This window comes from Homo sapiens, chromosome 2 (genome assembly GCF_000001405.40).
Source record: "Homo sapiens chromosome 2, GRCh38.p14 Primary Assembly".
In the NCBI taxonomy this organism is placed as follows: Eukaryota; Metazoa; Chordata; class Mammalia; order Primates; family Hominidae; genus Homo; species Homo sapiens.
In genome coordinates this window covers 137,516,513-137,537,517 of record NC_000002.12, presented here as the reverse complement: position 1 = coordinate 137,537,517, position 21,005 = coordinate 137,516,513, and the positions used below count along the sequence as shown (strand labels likewise).

General features: G+C 37.9%; 1 protein-coding gene across 2 annotated transcripts in view; it reads right to left on the bottom strand.

The window, feature by feature from the left end:
* THSD7B (thrombospondin type 1 domain containing 7B) overlaps positions 1–21,005 on the bottom strand; it is a 912,174-nt gene that overhangs the window by 140,201 nt on the left and 750,968 nt on the right. The window lies entirely within an intron of this gene.

The window sequence follows — 21,005 nt, the reverse complement described above, 5'->3', positions numbered from 1 at the left end:
GTTGTTTGCAACCAGAAGTCATTGAGCCTACAGGCATTCACAAACTCAGCAGAAAGCCAGATTAACTATCACTATTTCAAAAATATTATTAAAATGAGTAAGTTGCCATTTATATATTATTATATAGCCTAATTAAAAGAAGAATACGTTTGGCTTTAGATAGAAGTATAGAAACATTAAAAATCCTTAATCACAAGAAACTCAACAAAATTCCTGACATCAGGGAAAAGTCGGCTTCATATGTAGTAGACATAATTACATCAGAATTTAGTGATTAATGAACAATGTTCACATGATAATTTTATTGCACATTAGTATTATATCTATAGAATGATTTCTGTGCTATCTTAGTATTAATACCAAAGCTTGATGATGACTGCCCATGCATTGGAATTTAGATCAATGATCATCAAAACTTGGGTGTATCACTTGCTTCACTCTTTTTTTTGTATAGACAACCCACGCATTTTGGTTTGTCCAGAACAGAGAGTTAGTAGGGTTCTAGGAATGCAGCTCTATAGCTGAAGAGTTGCTAGAATTATTCCATTTTAATTTATTGCATTGCTACAGAAAATATGTGCTGGGTAAATAACAAATGCATTATTAATATTAAAGACCAAAATTCTCTCACTGAATTATAATGGGTAATTTCTTGGATATGGATGGTTAAATTTCTATGCGGCAATAAATAAAAGCAATCAAAAGCACCTCTTTGTCATTCCTCAGGGTACATACTGGAGAAGCATCAATCACATTAGATATGGAAATTTGAATGTATTATGATGTGCTAAGTTGTTTTCCTGTAATTACATGTATCATTTTTTCTTTGTCTTTTTTTTTTAAATCTTGTTATTATAATTACTTAGTCTCTTGTTAAATAAATATATAATTTCTGGGAAAGATTAGTCCTTTATTCTTCTTGCTTAAAATATTTTCAAATATTTCAACCACTTTTACTTCTACATGCAATCTTAATCTTTCTTCTTGGCTTTAGTAAAACTGCTTCTGGCTATTTCTACATTAAAATACTGCTATTATGTCAACTTTAATGGCCTAAACAGAAACTGCTTAATTTTCACCCTGGGCCAACACCATTTTCACATATCTAAGTACTATTCTTTCTTTAGAGTTGAGTTCAGTTCAGATCTCCCTCTCTTTAACCCTAAACTTCCCCAAATCTGTGTTTCCACAGTCCCATGAATTTTTGAGACTCAGCAGACAGTACCACAGATTTGGCTTTTTATATATGTGTCCTATTTTCCAAACGGGAAAGTCTGAGTCTGAGTCTGTTTTGAGACTGGGATCTGTAGCACACACTTCAGACAAGCTCAGACCAATTCAGTCTCCTACTCAAAACACGGCAGGGCCCCCTAACAGGCCATGAGTATGGAAACCACTGGTGTCATGAGTGATTTCTGTACTCATAGCCTGTTAGAGGGCCCTGCCGTGTTTTGAGTAGGAGAGTGACTCACATACCCGTGGTTTCCATACTCATGGCCGGTTAGGTCCCTAAATAACCCAAACCTTGCCTATTTATCTGAAATTATCTTCAACACTCTCCCTGTACCTTATCCACTCCAGCCACACCACCCTTCTTACTGTTCCTCCATGACAAGAGAACGTCTGTCTCCAAGTCTGTTCCCCCCACTGATAATATTCTTTCTTGAGGCCTCCGCAGCATCCCCCTCACATCATTCTTGAAGATGTCTGATGTCGTCATCTCAGAGAAGTCTTCTCTGATCATTCTGTCCTCCAAACCATCATAACCTATCATTATCTGCAACCATTTCTCTGTATTTTTACTTCTTTGCAGTCTACTTCCTTCACTTGAATATATACTTCATTAAAGCAGAGTTTTTGACTGTCATGTTCCTAGGTGTATCCTAGCAAGTAGCACACAGGATCTATTAAATAAATGTTTGTTCCATGAATAATTACCTCTTAGTAAGTTAGGCACCGGGTATAAAGTCTTAAGCACAGACTGTGAGGATTGATAACTACAGAATAAGAAAATGTGGTAAAAAGATACTCTGAAGCCATCTTATATTATATGGAGCCTACGTGGTCATTGCACTTAAATAAATAGGTATAGGTGTTCGAATTCCATTTCCGTGTAATCCAATTTATTCATTACCTGAAATTAAATATCACTGACCGTTAATATAAATGGTAATTAAGGCAGGTCACTAGGAGGTATGAATACCTTTGCTTTTTTTTTTCATATGTGTTCCAGCATATACCTCCTCTATACTTCCACAAATAATGAACTTTCAGCCAAGTGTGTCAATGTGAATGGATAGAAATGGTATAGACTTACACAAATAATGAATGCTCATCTAGGGAAATGTGAATCCAAAACATTAACCAGGAGTAAAAATGAACAGGTTATCAAGTTTTACATATTAAAACATTTCCACAGTATTATCTGTATTCACAACTTTTTGTAGTACCATAAGACCATCAAGTTAAATAAAATGTTAAAGAATACTTGAAATTTGCCTTAGAGAAAAATGGAGAAAAATAGGGATTTTTATGCATAATTAAGGCAGATGCCAACAGACAAAATCAAGTTTCAATTATAGGAGGATATATGAATTGAATATGTCTATATTTTTCTTGTGAAATTTTATAATTAAACAAGAGCATGATGTGAATAGTCATTCTAACTAGTTTAATATGGAATCACCTGAAAGAATATGTTATTATATAGCTTTTATATGAGAGATATCTAATGTGATTATAAGAAATATGCTTTTCAGCTTCTTTTTTGAGAAACTCAGAGATGTTAAGGATACATTTATTACTCATAGATTTATGTGTCTGTTTTGACATATCTTAGAATTTGGGGTAAAAAAGAAAACTTATATTGATAGTATATATTTTAGTATCAGGTACATAAAACTTTCCTGTAGGTTAAGCATTATTTTGTGTTTAGTTCATGGAAGTAAAAATGAATTGAGTATTATATACAATTTATAATTAAAAATATACAGAAAAGTTGAATGATACAAAGAAAAACTTAAGTGCACTTTCTCTTTCCTCAGAGAACCTGTATTTTGCTGTCTCCTCAGAGAAAAAATGGAAAAAAATATATATATTCACTGTCCTGGAACTTTATGAATGATACTTTTCTGAGTGCAACTTATGGTTGGTCATAAAATACTATCCTGTATTCACAATGACATAAAAGGGACTGCTATCCACTATTAAATAGCCAGCAACAACTTGAAAAATAGATGCACTACTGTTAGAACCCTTATTCTCATTAATCCTCTTTACCCCTTCATAAATAGGTAAGAAGGCAAAATAAAAGAGATAACTATTTCTATTTTATGGTACTAAAACTAAAAGAATAAACCTAGATCAAAGGCAAAAGGGGAAATGGAAAGATTAGGGAAAAAATAGTATTTCAAACACTACAGAAGATCAAAGTTGGAAGAAAACAAGCTCTTTCCCATCAGTTAAAGGAAGTCTGTGTGTGTGTGTGTGTGTGTGTGTGCGCGCACACACACACACATACATGTGCACGGGCAGTTATTTAATAAATACTTTTTTAAAGGATATTGGAATAAACAACCAATATTACAGAGAGAAAGCCCCTAAGATTGTAGTTGCCAAATTAATTGTTTAGTCAAAGTTTTTATTGTGCTTTTATGTAATAAGAGAGGGTATCAATCAAGCAGCCAAGCAAACAACATTTTCAGAGGCAAATTGCTGGTTCTGAGAGTCCTTTTAATCATATGCAACTTGCTGAAATCTCAATAACCCAGAAAGCCCTGTCAGTGGCAGCCCAGGCTAAGGGCTCACATGCTATGACTACATTAAAACAAATATAATAATCTATTTAGGGAATAATTGTTTTCTTCTTTTGAAGAGTTATTTATATAACATTTGCAATGCAATGTTTTGCATATCATTGGACTAGGTCACTAAACAAAGCCTATGTAAGAATGGAAGATCTAAAACAAACAAAGCAAAACAACAAAACAATAATAACAACAAATACTCCAACTATTTTGCTACCTTCTTGCTAAATGTCAGAATAGTTGAAGTTTTTTTAATAAGTAGAGTATTGAGTTGAAGGAGGAGTAATGCAGTTATTAATTTTAGGTGAGTCTGAAACCTAATAAAATAATATGATAAAGAAGTTGTCTCTCATGTAATTATAGAGAGGAGAGATTTAACCAGAGTAGAAATAACAGGATTTACTCTGTATTCGACTTATTTCCTATGGGAAACAATCCTGGAGAGGCACGTTATAGAGAACTGGAACATTTCTGATACGAGAGGAATGAGTCAGAAATGATTTAATCTGAAAAAATTAATTTAGCAATAGGGAATTATTTATACTCAAACGCAGTTTGGTGATTTAAATGAAAACAAATATATTTTGGCTTCTCTAATATTTCTAAGCTACATTGTTAAGAAAATATATTATTTCATTATGCATATGTATAACATTATTTATATATAAATAATATTACCTATTACATATCACATAAGGAATATTACATAGATACATAGATACAGACAGAATGTATATAGATATAGATACATAAATGTATGGTATATATATGTATGGTATGTGTATATATCTATGCATATATGTATACATATATATGCATATAGCCACACATTATTTGCTCATATAAAATATATATACTTATCCTAATAACTGTGACTTTTACCTATATGGTCACTCACTGGCTAGTTTACAGGTTTGTTTTATATTATTACAGAATTTCTAAATTATTCATTATTAAAAACTTAAAAGTGGGATCATAAAGCCCTGCAGATTACAACAGAGAAAGAATTAGAAAGAGAAACAAAGATGCAAAGAGACAGCCAACTATACTCTGAATCTTGAAACAAACTCCGAGGGACATGAATAACATGTTTTATCTCTATTCCATAACCAAGTAGTTTAATCATTTATAGCAAATCATTTAATTTTTTGCACTCTATAATACGGAAATCTTATCTCAAAGATGTTAATTTTTCCCTAAGGGCTATGATCCCATCAAATTAAATCTAAATTAAATTTGTTTTGTAGGAATTTAATGAGTTACAAAACACAGAGAAACAGAATAATCTAGAATAATTCTTTTTTTCTCAATCTAAAGTTTTGCCTTTTCTATAACTAGATTTTTTTCCAGTTTCTTCAATGATTAGTAGTACCAAAGATCAAAGAATTTCTGTTTTAGGAATCAAGTCAGTAATAGCTTTATGTATTTAGAAAAACATCCTTTATTGGCATTTGATATACAGAAGAACTACCATAATACATTTGATCAAGATGGCTCTACTGAATTCCCAAGATTCAGATTCAGAATTGTCCTAAAGTAATTGCAAGGCATGTTCTTTCATTCCCCAAACATTTATTGAACTCCTACTGTGTTCTCAATATTATCATGTTACGCAATTAACTTGGTAAGTTAGAATTCACTTCTTTAACATTCAACTCTAAAAACAGTTACAATGTGTAACTCTCCCTTTCAAATACACCTTACTTAGTCAAATACACTCTCTCTGTTTATATTGTAGAAGGCTAATTATCTCTATTTGGCTATGAGCCCCAGACTTGTGCTCATTCCTCCTGTGAGGAATACTACTTGATATTCTGTGAGCAAAATACCACAACTCACCCAAATTTTCCATGTCACTCCAGGAAGACACTTTACCTACTAAGACCTTAAAACACTGCTTAATTAAGCATTAGATACTAGGTAGTGGTATAAAGCACATGAGCATTAAGGGGAAAGGGTCACACAGATGCCTTTGTCTTAAGTTTACCTCTAGCCCTTGCAGTTAACTGCAGGTGTAAAAATTTGTATGCAGAAATCATAGCACCTGAAATTAGCTAACTGCAGGTGTAACTGGTCAGTTGCATCCTCCTAAGGGAGCCCTTGGTTAATTACCCCAATTATTAGGTAATTAAAGGTATAATTATATAAATTTCCATGCAATTTTACTGCTTAAAAAACTCTAGAGCAGAAGATAAGATATGAAAGTAAGCTTTCATAAAAATTTCATTAAATGAGAGTGCTGCTGGGTTTCAGGTGCTTGAGAACTGAATTTCAAACTAACAGTTCTCACCCTGAGTGCTACCTCTATGCTTAATCATTGTGGACTCGAATCATATCCTTACTTTGCTCAACAAAACGATGTGTCAAGGGCATCAGTGTCAGAATATTTTCTTGAATTCAGTATTAAGCCTAATTGCCATGATTAATTGTAGAAAACATCACACTCTGATAAGACTGCTTTACTGATCTTGAAGACCAAGCAATGCAACTATTATTAATTGAGTGCTATTCTTCACAGGAAGCAGCGTGTGTGCCTTACAAGGCCAACTTTTACTGCTTTAGAATACAATGCTTATATTATCCCTACTAGAGTGAGCCTGTTTACTATGATTTTATTTTATTTTCTGTCCGCATAGCAATGGGTTTGTAATTTTTAAACACACCATTTAACAACAGAAAGATGTAGGCTACGAAAATGCTTTGTAGTGACAGAAAATGCATCCCAAAGATTGTGTGTTTAGATATTCGAGAACTGATCAATGTTAAGTTCTCTTTAATCTAGATGATTATATATTGGAATTCAAGGACCAATGATGCCTGCACTCCTCTGTATCCTAATTCCAACAACTCAGCTCATGCTATAATCCTTGTGAAGTCAAGCCTTGTCACTTATCACAATTCTAGTAAGAGGTACTACACTTGTTTGCATATGCTTTAGTCCACTTTGTGTTTCACAGAACCCTGTTTTCTCTTTCTAGGTCTCCTAGAGTTCTGCTTCGGCATTCAAGCCCCTGAGATCAAGCCTATGACAGCTATCCCCAGAACACCCCATAACACTGCCCCTTTAGCACTTCCAATTTTGCCTGCAGTTGTGTGCCCTTCACAGTTCAACTTCCTGTCTCTCTAAACGAGACAGGCTGTGCTAAAACAGCATGATTACCCAAGTAAGGCTGATGACCAAGCTGACTTGAAGCTCTATTTTGTTGTCATTTCAAGGGTCATTTTACAAATCCAGGAAGTATCATTTATATTGTGGTTTAGTCCCATTTCAGTTGTTTTCCAGTGACACCATTTGCAGGGGCTACAGTATGGAGTATGTACCCTGTCATTGAGAAACATGGTGGGCCTGATAGGTCATTTAGCTATGTCATGCAAGACCCCATGAAAATCTCATAAATGATTTAATAGAGGTATGAGGCATCCTAATGGTAAAAGAAACATATGTTTCATATAAATCCATGAAACGTTCAATTTTCCAGTTATAAACATGATTTACTCATGTTGGATCCCTAGAGCTTCTCTACGTATTGCTTAGTCAACAATTAACTTTTGCAAAGCCTCAATGAGGCACGCACATCTCAATAGCTGATTGCTAGAGCAATAGTAGAATGCTGATTTTTTTCATTAGGCCTGCACAGCTTTCAAGTTCTAATTCGCCCAGATGTACTCAAGAACATGTTGTGGTATTAACAATAACTGTTTTTCAATTAACAGTCAATATGTGGAGGAACCAAAAAAAATTAAAAGGCTCCTTTGCACTTAATTTTTCCCACATGCTACTTAAAAGGCATTTTCTCTCCCTTTTAATGTTAATTGAATCATCATCCGCTTGTCACTTAAATTTCAAATACATGGGAGGACACTTCTCTAAGTGCTGACATGTAGTTAGAGGTCACACTACAAACCCAGATGTCCCTACTCTCATTACTCATCTCAATCTCAGCAGGGAAGACAGGTATAATATCTAAAGGGCAGTTTAATTCTTCTGATGATTTTTTTAACCATAATCTTATTAAAAAGCTTAAACTTTCCATTTGAATTTCCTTTTTCTGAAGTTTTCTATGGTCTCTCTGAACACAAGTACACTCTGGATGTCCTTTAAAAAAAAAAAAAAAGATTCTTAGAAGGATTCTAAATCCCTTAAACTATCCAGATTCCATGAACATTCTACACGATATTTGCCTAACTCTAATGTTTGCTTATTCTTCTCTTTCAAGGTTCAACTCCTCCCTTACCTTCTTTATGAGGCCTCCCTATGCACTAAAGCCTTTATCTTTGGGACAATCATTAGTCCCTTAGCACATAGAGCCCTTATATTTTAAAATAAATTTTAGGTGAAAGAGCTAGTTCCCTGACTGCCTTGAAAATCTCTACCTTGCCTTTGTATCATTGTATTCCCAATGCTTGTCACAATGAATCATTCATTCTTTCATTCATGTATTTATTCAACAAATATCCACAGAGTACCTCATTAAATAATAATGATCATATCTAGATTGCCCATAGTCCAGAGGAAAAAGTGGGAGAGGAGAGGCAGTTAACAGTCACGTAAAGCAAATAATTCATTAAATGAAATGTGCCTTAGAAAGGGAAAGTACTGTCTCCATGAAGTGGAAGATCCTGGAAGATTTAATATCTCCCTATCACTAGCCATAAGTAGTAGTTTGCCAAAAGGTAAAGAGAAAGATTTTTCAAGTGAAAATAATTACATGTATGAAAATTTAATGATTAAAGAGGATTGTATGCTCAAGGAATGCCAAGAACTTTTGGTGTGGCTAGAATGCAGTTGATAGAAAGATGAGTCTGCGAAGCACCAGACTGAGAAGAGCTTTGCATACCATGCCAATCAGTGTGTTCTCTATCCTACGTACAAGCAGGTCAAGGACTCTGGCAGGTCAGAAGCTCCTACTGAGGCTAACGCAGTAAATATACAATGGAGTCTTGGAATTTTTATTTTCAACATCTCTAGTGATTCTGATACAAGTTGTCCTCAGATGAAACTGTGAGAAATGCCTCTGTATGCAAACAGGAAATCTAAGGGAATTATTGAAAAGGCAGTGTGGGATGGCTAGCCCACTTCTAGGAGGTTTTGGCACTAGATCAGGCAAGGAATGTCAGTTTTAATGATAATGATTACAAACAGATTAATTTAGTTAGTTGCTACTAGGTTTGCATAAATCAAGATTGTACCTGAGTGATCTATAAGTAAAGGCACTGAAATATCATGTGTTTAATTTACAATATTCCAGCAGTTATTATTCTTCTATTGCTAAACATATTGTCCCACATGCGCCTCATAAAAAATCCAGTGAGGTAGTCATTACTATCTGTACTTAACAGATGAGGAAACAAATGTTCAGAGGGTTGAAATGACATGGCAGCAGTTATCCAATGCATGCATGATAGAAGTGGAAATTAAAGTCTAGGGCTGTCTGACTCCTCCTCCTTCATCATGCTTCCTTTCCAAATATCTGCAATGTAACTTCCAAACTATACAATGAAACACAACAAACCCCAATTTTGGGCACAACGAAATACAACAAACATCAATTTTGGGCCAACAAGATTGGGCACAATTTTAGGTTCAACAAAATTGAACATCAATTTGATGTAATTGAAGTTAAGAAATACAAGAATCCAATCAAGTGTGTATCAATGTTATTTCTATTGTAAGTGACAAAAACTCAAGCCCAGCTGATTGAAGCAAAGGGGGAATTTATTGATTCTTACGGCTGAAAAGTTCATGGTAGGCTCTAGGAATTAATTGATTCAGGAAACAAAAATAATGACTCTAGAATCCAGTTTTTCCTTTCTTATCTCTTGGTTGCTTTCTGTTTGTCATCTCCATGTTAACTTTCACTGGTCCTGGCAAAATGGCTTGCTCCAGAGTGCTGTCCTAATATCCTCCAAAATTCAAGTTCAATGGAAGACAGCACTTTTCTTTTTTCTAATCTCTTTCAATGACCCATTGCAGTCCTTCTTGGGTCACAGATCTATCCCTAAGTTCACTTTGCAGCCAGGGCAACTCATGCTGATTGTCTATGTGGGAGCCTAATGTTTACCTTTGGATCAAGCACAGAGTCAACACCACCCAAATGTCATAGACTTCAAATGAGGGACACATGATTCTTCAAAATAAAATTTAATTGATGGTACAAAAAAAGGAGTTTCAAAATGGAGGGAGCAATGCTAGCAAATAACCACAATGTTCAGCTAAAAAAATGGAGCAAGGTAACTGACCTTGGCTTTTTATTATTATGACAGAATCAATTATACTCATTGATGAATTAGGTGATACTTTTCCAGATTTCTGTATTTCCTTAGGACACACCTCTGGACAAATGAAAATTTATTCTAGCAGGAAATCTGTTTTTAGATGGTTTTTATACACATGCACACACACATATGTACATATACACACACGCACCCCAATTTCTACAAGGCAATTTTCTTGATATGGATTAAATCTATTCAAATAAGATTATTCTGTTTTGCAACTGACTGAATTCTTTTATTTTCTTTTCAAAATAATCCACTGTTCAATCAAATTAAAATGCTTGTTTTAAACTTTAATTTGTGTGCACATATAGCCACAGTCATTCTTCAGCTAAAGTACACTGGTTATTTTAATCCTTTAATCAATACTTCCTTCCAGCAATTCATATCTTTTCATTCCCTTTCCAAAATTATTCATTTCTCTAAGGAAGGTAGAAGGTTTTGCTGACTTATCTCCTCAGTGGTTTGTTACGGATTGGATAAGCGGTACAAAATTTCTGAGGATTTTCCTCTTTGGTGATATTTTATGTTCTCTTGAGTACATGTGTTAATTTTCAACCTGCTCATTCTTCAAGGCACAGTTCAAACCTCCAAGACACCTCCCCTCTATAGGCCAATACCCTCTTATTCAAAACATTTATCACTGTGCACCACATTTATTATTAATACCATAATAATAAAGTTAATTACATAAATAAAAACTAATTAAACTGGCTGGGTGTGGTGGCTCATGCCTGTAATCCCAGCACTTTGGGAGGCTAAGGTGGATGGATCACCTGAGGTCAGGATTTCGAGACCAGCCTGGCCAACATGGCAAAACCCTGTCTCTACTAAAAATACAAAAAAGTTAGTGGGATGTGGTGGTACGCACCTGTGGCCCCAGCTACTCAGGAGGCTGAGACAGGAGAATTGCTTGAACCTAGGAGGCAGAGGTTGCAGTGAGATGAGATTGCACCACTGCACTCCAGCCTAGGTGACAGAGCGAGATTCTCTCTCAAAAACAAACAAACAAACAACAACAACAACAACAACAACAAACCCTAAACTTAAAGAAAATTTAGTTTAATTCTCCATAAACTGAAAACTCATTGAGGGCACAGCTTTGCATTCTCAGCCCCTAGCACCATATCTTACAAATATTAATAAATGGACTTAATATAATAAGTCATGTTGTAGGTTAATATTTTACTTTTCAAAAAGTTGATTTTGCTCAATCCTTTTAGATGAAAAGGAAGGGAATGTACCCAGTAGCCCAGTATCCTATTGAAATCGGCCAGGTAGAAGTGGTACGGGACATGGCTCTCTCTCTGCCTCTCTCCAAGCAGTAAGAGTAGTAAAACCAGGGGAAGGAGGGAGAAGAGCAGCAGAGATAACAAACCAAGTGGCTGTCAGCCTGGGAGGGGCTGGCTAGGTGAGATATCTGCAGCTGAAGAGTCATGGCAAGGAAACAAAGACCCAGGGACAAGAGAAGAGACACTTCCAGGCTAAGGAGGAAAGGGGCTGGCTGGCATACCAACTGTGACAAGGGCTGGGTGAAGCTAGCTTTTATGTGGCTCCTAAATGGGGATGTATGACTACATTAAGAGATAGGAACAGAGGGAGTCATTTGGTTACATAGCCACTTACCTATTCAGCCCCCTCTGACTCATTAAACACTTATAAATGTGTGAACTCACCAGCAGCTCTTTGATCTCCAGCTTTCTTCTCATTCATTGCTACACTTTCTGACTATAATATTTCCATTTTTAAGCATAGTACATTATGAAATACTGTTATTAATGATATTTAAACAAATGAAATTGCATTATTATGTTCAAAATGTGGCTCACATCGATCAACATAACAAATTACAGATGCAAAACACTACTTAAGCTCCATAATGACAGCATATTTTAAAATGTATTCCTGAGTAGCAGTCAGGAATTTCAAGAGAAGAGAGAATTATAGTGGCTGGGAAATGGATAAATAAGTATAAGTAACTAGCTTTTGGAAAAGGGTTTGCCTCATCAAATGTACACTGAAGGGATGCTCATAAACTGCCTGTCAAAATAAAGAGAGGTTTGCAGCTACCTAGGAGCTAGCAGCTCCGACCTCAGTTATGATCTGGGGCAGTGATTCTCCCTTGGGATTCTAAGAGTTAGAATAAACTGTGATCTCTGGGGTCAGAAAGAGACAGCTAGAAATTGTGCATGGTGTTTGGTTTCTATTTTTTCTGCAGCAGTCCATGATCAGACACCATCTGTTTTGAGTATACTGTTTGTGTGAACACAATATTCATGTGTGGTTCCACTACCCTTGGTGCTTTGAACCTCTTAGCCAAACAGCAAATATTTATTTTGAACTAAATGTCAAAGATTGTGCCACCATTGTGAGAAAAGTAAATTAAACACCAACCAACCAACAAAAAAAGGCACACCAACAACGACCTCACAAAACATGAAGCACGGCCTCTCCTTATTGTCTCCCATCTAGCTGCCAACATACATGAAAAAGAGAGTGAATAGCAAAATGCCAAGCAATGCTAGCCACAATGCAAGTGGATACAAATTCTACAGCAGTGATGACATTCAAAATATTCAGCCACCTGAATGTCTGATATCCACCACTGAGAAAAGTCACTCACAATCACAGGGAGAACAGCTGGTGAGCTGGACAGGTACATATCCATGGAATATTCATCCTAAGAACAGTCTTAAGGTTGTCCCATGTAAGAATAACCTCAGTTTAGAAGACTCAGACCAGTGCACATCAATTTCCTGACCTTATGAACACACATCTTTTTTCTGCATAATTGATATTTACAAAACAAAGCAAAACCTAAGTTCCTTCAGAGTTGGGACTCTTTCTTTTCCAACATTTATTCACGGCAGTTGACTCTGTAACATTAGTTTGGCAAACATAAACAAGGATGCAGCCATCACCTATAAAAAAAATGCAGATATTTCTCTCCCAGACTATGTCGGGAGGGGAAGAAGCACTTTGTACTCCAAAATAGCTTAGACCCAAAAATATTGGTGAACAGGAAAGGAAGAAAAATGAACAGTAAGCTCTAACCTGCAGAGGGCCCTGTGCTCTGCCAGCCAAGCAGTGATTTCCAGTGGCCCATGGCAGAGACGGTGAGGAGGCAGTTCCACATGACGAATTTCTTCATGAGTTGGGAAATAGCTCTTTGCTTGGGGAGGCTAACGGCAAAGCCTCCCCAAGCAAACTTGAGATTTTCCAGTGGCTTACTGAATATCTTATTTATACCACAAGGCATTCATTTAAAATGAGGTCTTGATGCCAACCCTTTTGACATTTTGACAGGCTACAAAACTCAAAGCAGCAGGACTTTCTGTTGTTGTCATTGTTGGGGTTTCAATGCAGTAAACACATATGCAGTTTCACTTAGTAGACTATAAAAAGAGTTGGTAGAAATCCAGAAATTGATTTGTATTTTAATGGAAAAAAAATCCATTAAACTACTTTTATATAAAATTAAATCCCCTCACTGTATTTTTAACTAAAAGTCATGTGTTGAGGACCTATTTGTTCAGAATATGCTGCAGCAGTGGTTTTCAACCATGGCTTCACATTTAGAATCATATAATGATCTTAGGAAAAAAATAGATGGTGTCTGAGATCCATCCCAGAGCTTAAAAAAGAGTGTGCCCCAGAGATCTATAAGTGGGGATGGCAAGAACTAGGTCATGAAACAGCACAGTGGAGTAACCATGACCAGCTCAGACCCATCTTGACTAAATCAGTGGAAGTGGGCACATACCTGACTGAATACATTTTGGTTCTACGAGCATGAAAAAGGGAATGGAAAAAAGAATGGCTATTGGGCAGACAATTATTGAGTATGCAACCAATTGTGTCTGTCATATACTCCAAGTTTCTCAAATTGCTCTTGAAAATTTTCAGTGACATGGGAAACTTACCAAAGCATAGTTTGAAAATGACATTTCTCATATCAATTCTTCCAGTTCCCTTCCTTTTCTGTATGAATACACAAAGTAACAGAATGTCCCAAGAAAATGTGGGATTGGATTCAGTAATATATAAGTTTCTCCTAACCTCTAAAACAAATGCATGATTGCAGACTGTGGTAAACTCCAAATGTGAGAAGAAACAGAGGTTTCTGGGCTTGGAAATGTGAAAATTGCATGGAGAAATAGCATGAGCACAGGAAAAACATCTGAAGACTATATGAGCAAATAAAATTGATGTGGCAAAAATTGAATTTTGAATTAATGACAGAAGAAGCTATTAACAAAATAACTGCAACCTATAATCAGAACACTGATTATATGCCTAGTCCATTTCTACAACTGTGCATATGAAATAATATTTATACCATCACATTGGTCTAAGAAAAGTACATGACTCCTTGCAGCATTTTTACGTTGTGGCCTTTACAACGTCAATAACAATCTTCAAGTGTATTCATTCAAAACATACATGTCTGTTTAGTAACCACTATGTGGAAAGTCCTCCACCATCCATTAGAGATATTTAAAGATGAATGAGATGCAATCTTTGCCATCAGGCAGGTAAACAACTAGCTTGAATGCAATCACCCAGCACAAATGGTGGTAACTGGCAGAGTCTTCAATGCAGAAATGATTTATCTGGTATAAGTGTATACTGTGTCACAGCATATAATTCCTAAGTGCCCTGTTCTGCTCTGCTGAGAGATTTCTAATCAAAATCTGCTTTGTTCTCATTTAAGTAGAAGGTAGATTTGCTACAAAACTTTGCTCGAATGGAGCTGGATTTATGACAATGTCAATAAAATAATGCAAAGGAAAGTCCAGAGCAAGAGGAGCTGCAACTAAGGTTTCTAACTGAGAAGAAATTCCACAGTTCCCTCACATTTACTCTTCCCTCTCCATTCCAAGAAAAAGGAAAAGAAAAAAAAAAAAGTGACTCTGAATTGCTTTCTTTCCCTCACCAGCAATTCATTCAAGAAACATTCATCAAGCACCTCCTTTGTGTCAAGAAATGTGCTAAAAGGGAAGAAAGACATGCATGCAAGGCAGTCACAACTCTGTGGAATTTCTGGATTATCATTCTAATTTTAAGATAAATACATTGAGACATTAAGTGACTCACTCATGTTACAAAAGAAACAAGCGCAAAGCTGGGAATTAAACTTGTCTTTTACAGCTTGATGCCATTTCTACACTATCCCTCTGGAAAACACATGCAGTCTACAAGGGACTCTGGTAGGACTCTTAAGACTACACACAGAGAGAAGCATTTGAAGGGTTCACTATAGAGCACTCATGGGGAGTCCTGGCTAGTGCACCAAGAAGAGTTTATCTGAGCTGATTCAAACCTGAGAAAAAGACAGCCTAGCCCATGCAGTTCTCAGGCTGAGTTCAGAAGAAAGGGTAGTTTATCTCCATCTGGGAAGTTGTCCACATTTACAAAGCACAGAACCAAGGAGGTCTTGTGGGATTTTCCTTTGTGATACCCCTACAAGGAGGGATTCGAACACTGGGTATCTTGTGCTAAAAAATCATGCAGAACATGGAGTAAGGTTACTCAACAGCTGAGAGGTTACTCAACAGCTGAGGGATGCATGCCAGCACAGTCTGCCCTGTTATGTGGACATTCTCTGACTGACAGGCCCTCTGATGCTCTGCCATGTGACATGGTGACCATATGCTAAGAAGCACTCCTGCTCTACAGGGAGACAGATTGTCAGAGAAGTCTCAAAAGCCAGCCAGATGCCAGTGTCCCCTCTACTGTCCCTGATCTACCAGAAGTGGCTTTGCCAGCTGGCATCTCCACTTCTTCCAACCATGCTCTGATCATAGAAAACAAACAGGGTTGAGACACTAACAACTTTATTCCCCTGTACCAGTAAAGCCCACCAGTGAGAGATGAACTAATGGGCAAGAGAAAGAGTCCAACAAGAAGAGAAAGGGTCCAATGAGAAGAAAAAGAGGGATGGGGGAGATTTTTCCTTCCTATGGGCTTTTTTTCCTTAGATGAAGGTGTGCTGCACTCCACATGACTTATTACAATTTATTTACAGATCTCTCTACCCATGAGTGTACAAGCTTCATTTAATGACAGTGATGGTCTCACTGATGTCTGTAGTCACAGCCCCCCCTCCCCACTACAAAGGCTGACCCAGAAGGACAGCTCAACAAATATCTGTTTTGTTTTATTTTTAAGAAAAGTGCTGTGAAAACGAATTGAGATAACATACCTATTAAGTAAGGACTATAGAATCTCATAATCTGGGGTGGGGACAGAGTGCTCAAATCTCTGGATCAGCTCTTTCTCACCCAAAAATTGATACAAATAACATAATAATCTCCCTGGCAATGCCCAAATGACTCTGCCTCTATAGCAATTTTACACCTGCTCCGGTGATACTACCAAGCAGCAAAAACAGCTCTAACCCAATCCCCAACCCCACCTCAGGTCAGAGAAATTAGGAAGCCTTATATTTTCCTTTTGTCTGACCAAAGAGTTCACCCACAATGGTTCACTAAACACAACTTTCAAACAACTTGAAGAGTGTTAAAAATTCAACTGCTAATGATTTTTAAGCACGAATCATGATTCATCCAGCATATTAAATTATGAAATGTAATTTGTAGAAATTTCATCATGCTCTAGCATTATGAAAGAAGTAATATGTAATTGCAATTTAATGTTGAATGTTGCCATGTTTATTGGTTTCCTAGTGCATATACTGTGCTCCAGGGATGCTGAAGATAAAAGTACCTTATGCCAAAGGGCAGCAAGTGAATGGACTGATAAAAAGAAAGAAAGCAATTGAAGAGCTTGTCATTCTTACGAGCACTCCTACTGTAGCAGTGTCTACCCAAGAATCTTTGGACATAAAATATATCCAGCATTTATGGGCATCTTTCTCTTATAAATTTAGTGCTTTTAACGAAGCACTGAGAATTAGTTTTAGGTCTGCATTCAGCTATACACACATAAGGAGAGTAACTAGTTCACTTATGCCTAATTTTCTCTTCTGTTAAATGCAGGTGCTTTAAATACATTAACGATGGTTGTCATTATATATACAGAGTGCTTATCCTAGTTTCTGGCATATGGTTAGCATTCAATAAAAATTCAATTCTATTCGTTATACAAATTGTCATCATCATTATCATTATCATCATCATCCATTTTCATGAAACAGAACAATAAAGCTGGACAAAACCTAAAAAGAATTAATGAATCCAAGAGCTTTTTTTTCCTCTGTAGAAGGGAAGCCCACTCTCTGTAAACTAATTTATTCCTACTGCCACCCAACAAATGTGAAAAAAACAAAAACAGAAATGCATCCTAATTCCAAGTCCAGAGCTTTTTTACACAACTATTAAATTATTAAGGGCATTGGACAATAAAATGGGAAGTCTTTACCTTTTAGCATCTCTCTCACGATGTCCCTGTGACATTATTCTCCATGCCTCAGGGCTCTTCGTCTTCATGTGTTTAGCTTTCTTTCCACGTCAGAAAGGAAATAGTAACAGGTACTGAAAACTTTATATTCTCTTGCTGCGATTCACTCATTCTCTGAGATATGTTTCCTTTTAAAGCCCCAGTGATCAAATAAAGTTGTTTTTCTTATATTTTAAGTATTTATCAATGAATTCTAAGAAGAATGTGAAATTATAAGAAAGTTTACATGTATAAAAATAGGACCAGTAAGATCCCTACCTGATGACAGATGCTTTAGTTTTTGTTTCCTCTTAATATGTTAGACATTTCCTTATTAAGCCTCAGCCCCAGACTTGTCCTTCTATATTCACCTTCAAACTGTTAGGGCTAGAAACCTGCAAACTATTATTTGCAGCTTTTCTGGCTAGCAAGTTGCTGATCATATTCTGCCAGTCTGAAGTAGTTACGCCAAAATGAAAACCAGTAAGAAGTGAGACATTCTGTTTCTGATGAACCCTCCTATAGTGATAGCAGCAGTGGGAGCCCAAGTTCTGCTAATGAAGCATTTTAGAATCAGCAGTTAGCAGTTCTACCAGGTGAAGGAACAACAGCTCTTGCTCATACCACCTGCCATGGTTTCAGCAGTATTGAAAATAACTGTTCTAATAATATTAGTGGCAAGAAAACTCTTATGGACATCAGTCCAGAGATGGCAACATCTTGCTCATATCTGAATAATAATGGCCTTTTCCTTTTTCTATTTATTTATTTATTTATTTATTTTGAGATGGAGTCTCACTCTCTTGCCAGGCTAGAGTGCAGTGGCGCAATCTCAGCTCACTGCAACCTCCACCTCCTGGGTTCAAGTGATTCTCCTGCCTCACCCTCTTGACTAGCTGGGACTATAGGCGCACGCCACCACACCACTCCCGGCTAATTCTTGTATTTTTTAGTAGAGATGGGGTTTCACCATATTAGCCAGGCTGGTCTTGAACTCCTGACCTCGTGATCCACCTGCCTTGGCCTCCCAAAGTGCTGGGATTACAGGCGTGAGCCACCGTGCCCAGCCCCTTTCCCCTTTTCCAGTGAGGACAAACCTCTGCCCTTTCCATGATGGAAGAGGTCCAATATAATCAACCTGCCACCAAGTAGCTGGCCGATCACCCTGAGGAATGGTGCCATATCGAAGGCTCAGTGTTGGTTTATGCTGCTGGCAAATTGGGCACTCAGGAGTGGCCGTAGCCATGTCAGTTTTGGTGAGTGGAAGTCCACGTTGCTGAGCCCATGCGTAACCTCCATCCCTGCCACAATGGCCACTGTGGTCATGGGCCCATTGGGCAATGACAGGGGTGGCTGGGGAAAAAGGATGAGTGGTGTCCACAGAACAGGTCATCCTATCCACTTGATTATTTAAATCCTCCTTTGCTGAGGTCACCCGTTGGTGAGCACTCATATAGGATACAAATATCTTCACAGTTTTTGACTACTCAGAGAGTTCCATCCACATACCTCATCGCCAAATTTTTTGGTCACCAATTTTCCAATCGTGCTTCTTCCACATCCCTGACCAACCGGCCAAACCATTGGCTACAGCCCATGAATCAGTATGTAATCACACATCTGGCCATTTCTCCTTCCATGCAAAGTGCACAACCAGGCACAGTGCTTGAAATTCTGCCCACTGGGAAGACTTCCCTTCACCACTGTCCTTCAGGGATGTCCTGGAAAGGGGCTGTAGTGCTGCAGCTGTCCACTTTCGGGTGGTGCAGGATCATCTGTGAACCAGGCCCTGGTCTTCTCTTCCTCTGTCAACTGATCATAGGGAACTCCCCATGAGGCCATCAGTGCAGGCTGGGGAAGAGAAGGCAGGGTGGCAGGAGTGGAGACCATGGGCATTTCAGCCACTTCCTCATGTAACTTACTTGTGCCTTCGGGACTGCTTGAGCCCAATCACATATATATGTGATTGGGAGCCCAACCACTTCCATTTGATGGAAGCCCAACCACTTCCATTTGATGATTTAATGCTGCTGTGCATGACCCACTTTATGGCTAGATGGGTCAGAAAGCGCCCAGTTCATGATAGGCAGTTCAGGTTGCATGGTGACTTGATGACCCACAGTCAAACATTCAGTTTCCACCAAAGCCCAGTAACAGGCCAAGAGCTGCCTTTCAAAAGGAGAGCAGTTATCTGCAGAAGATGGCAGGGCCTTGCTCCAATATCCTAGAGGCCTCCACTGTGATTCACCAATGGGGGCCTGCCAGGGCTCCAAACAGCATCCCTATCTGCCACTGATACCTCCAGCACCATTGGATATGCTGAGTCATATGGCCCAAGTGGCAGAGAAGCTTGCACAGCAGGCTGGACCTGTTTCAGAGCCTTCTTCTCTTCTAGATCCCACTCAAAACTGGCAGTCTTTTGGATCACTCGACAAATGGACTGGAGTAACACATTCAAATGAGGAATGTGTTGCCTCCAAAATTCAAATAGGCCCACTAGACATTATGCCTCTTTCTTAGTTGTAGGAGGGACCAAATGCAGTAACTTATGCTTCACCTTAGAAGGAACATCTCAACAGGCCTCACACCACCAGACCCCTAGAAATTTTACTGAGGTAGAAGGCCCCTGAATTTTAGTCAGATTTATTTCCCATCCTCTGGCATGCAAATGATTTACCAGTAAGTCCAGTGTGTTTGTTACTTCTTGCTCACTGGATCCAATCAGCATAGTGTCATTAATGTAATGGACCAGTGTGATATCTTGTGGAAGCACAAAGTGATCAAGGTCTCTTCAAACAAGATCATGACACAAAGCTGGAGAGTTGATATACCCCTGAGCTAGGACAGTAAAGGTATATTGCTGGCCTTGCCAGCAGAATGCAAATTGCTTCTGGTTGGCCTTATGGACAGGAATAGAGAAAAACGTATTTGCCAAGTCAATGGCTGCATAACGGGTACCAGGAGATGTGTTAATTTGCTCAAGCAATTAAACCACAATTGGTACAGCAGCTGCAATTGGAGTCACCACTTGGTTAAGCTTACAATAATCCACTGTCATTCTCCAAGATCCATCTGTCTTCTGCACAGCTCAAATAGGAGAGTTGAACAGGGATGTGGTGGGAATCACCACCCCTGCATCTTTCAAGTCCTTGATGGTGGCACTAATCTCCGCAATCCCTTGGAGAAACAATATTGTTTTTATTTACTATTTTTCTAGGTAGAGGCAGCTCTAATGGCTTTTATTTGGCCTTTCCCATCATCATTGCCCTCACCCCACTAGTCAGGGAGCCAATGTGGGGGTTCTGTCAGCTGCTAAATGTCAATGGCAATTATGCATTCTGGCACTGGGAAAATGACCACAGAATGAGTCCGTGGACCCACTGGAGCCACTGTAAGTCAGACCTGAGCTAAAACTCCATAAATTACCTGACCTTCATAAGCCCCTACTTTAACTGGAGAACCACAACGACGTTTTGGGTCCCCTGAAATCAAGGTCAGCTCAGAGCCAATGTCCAGTAGTCC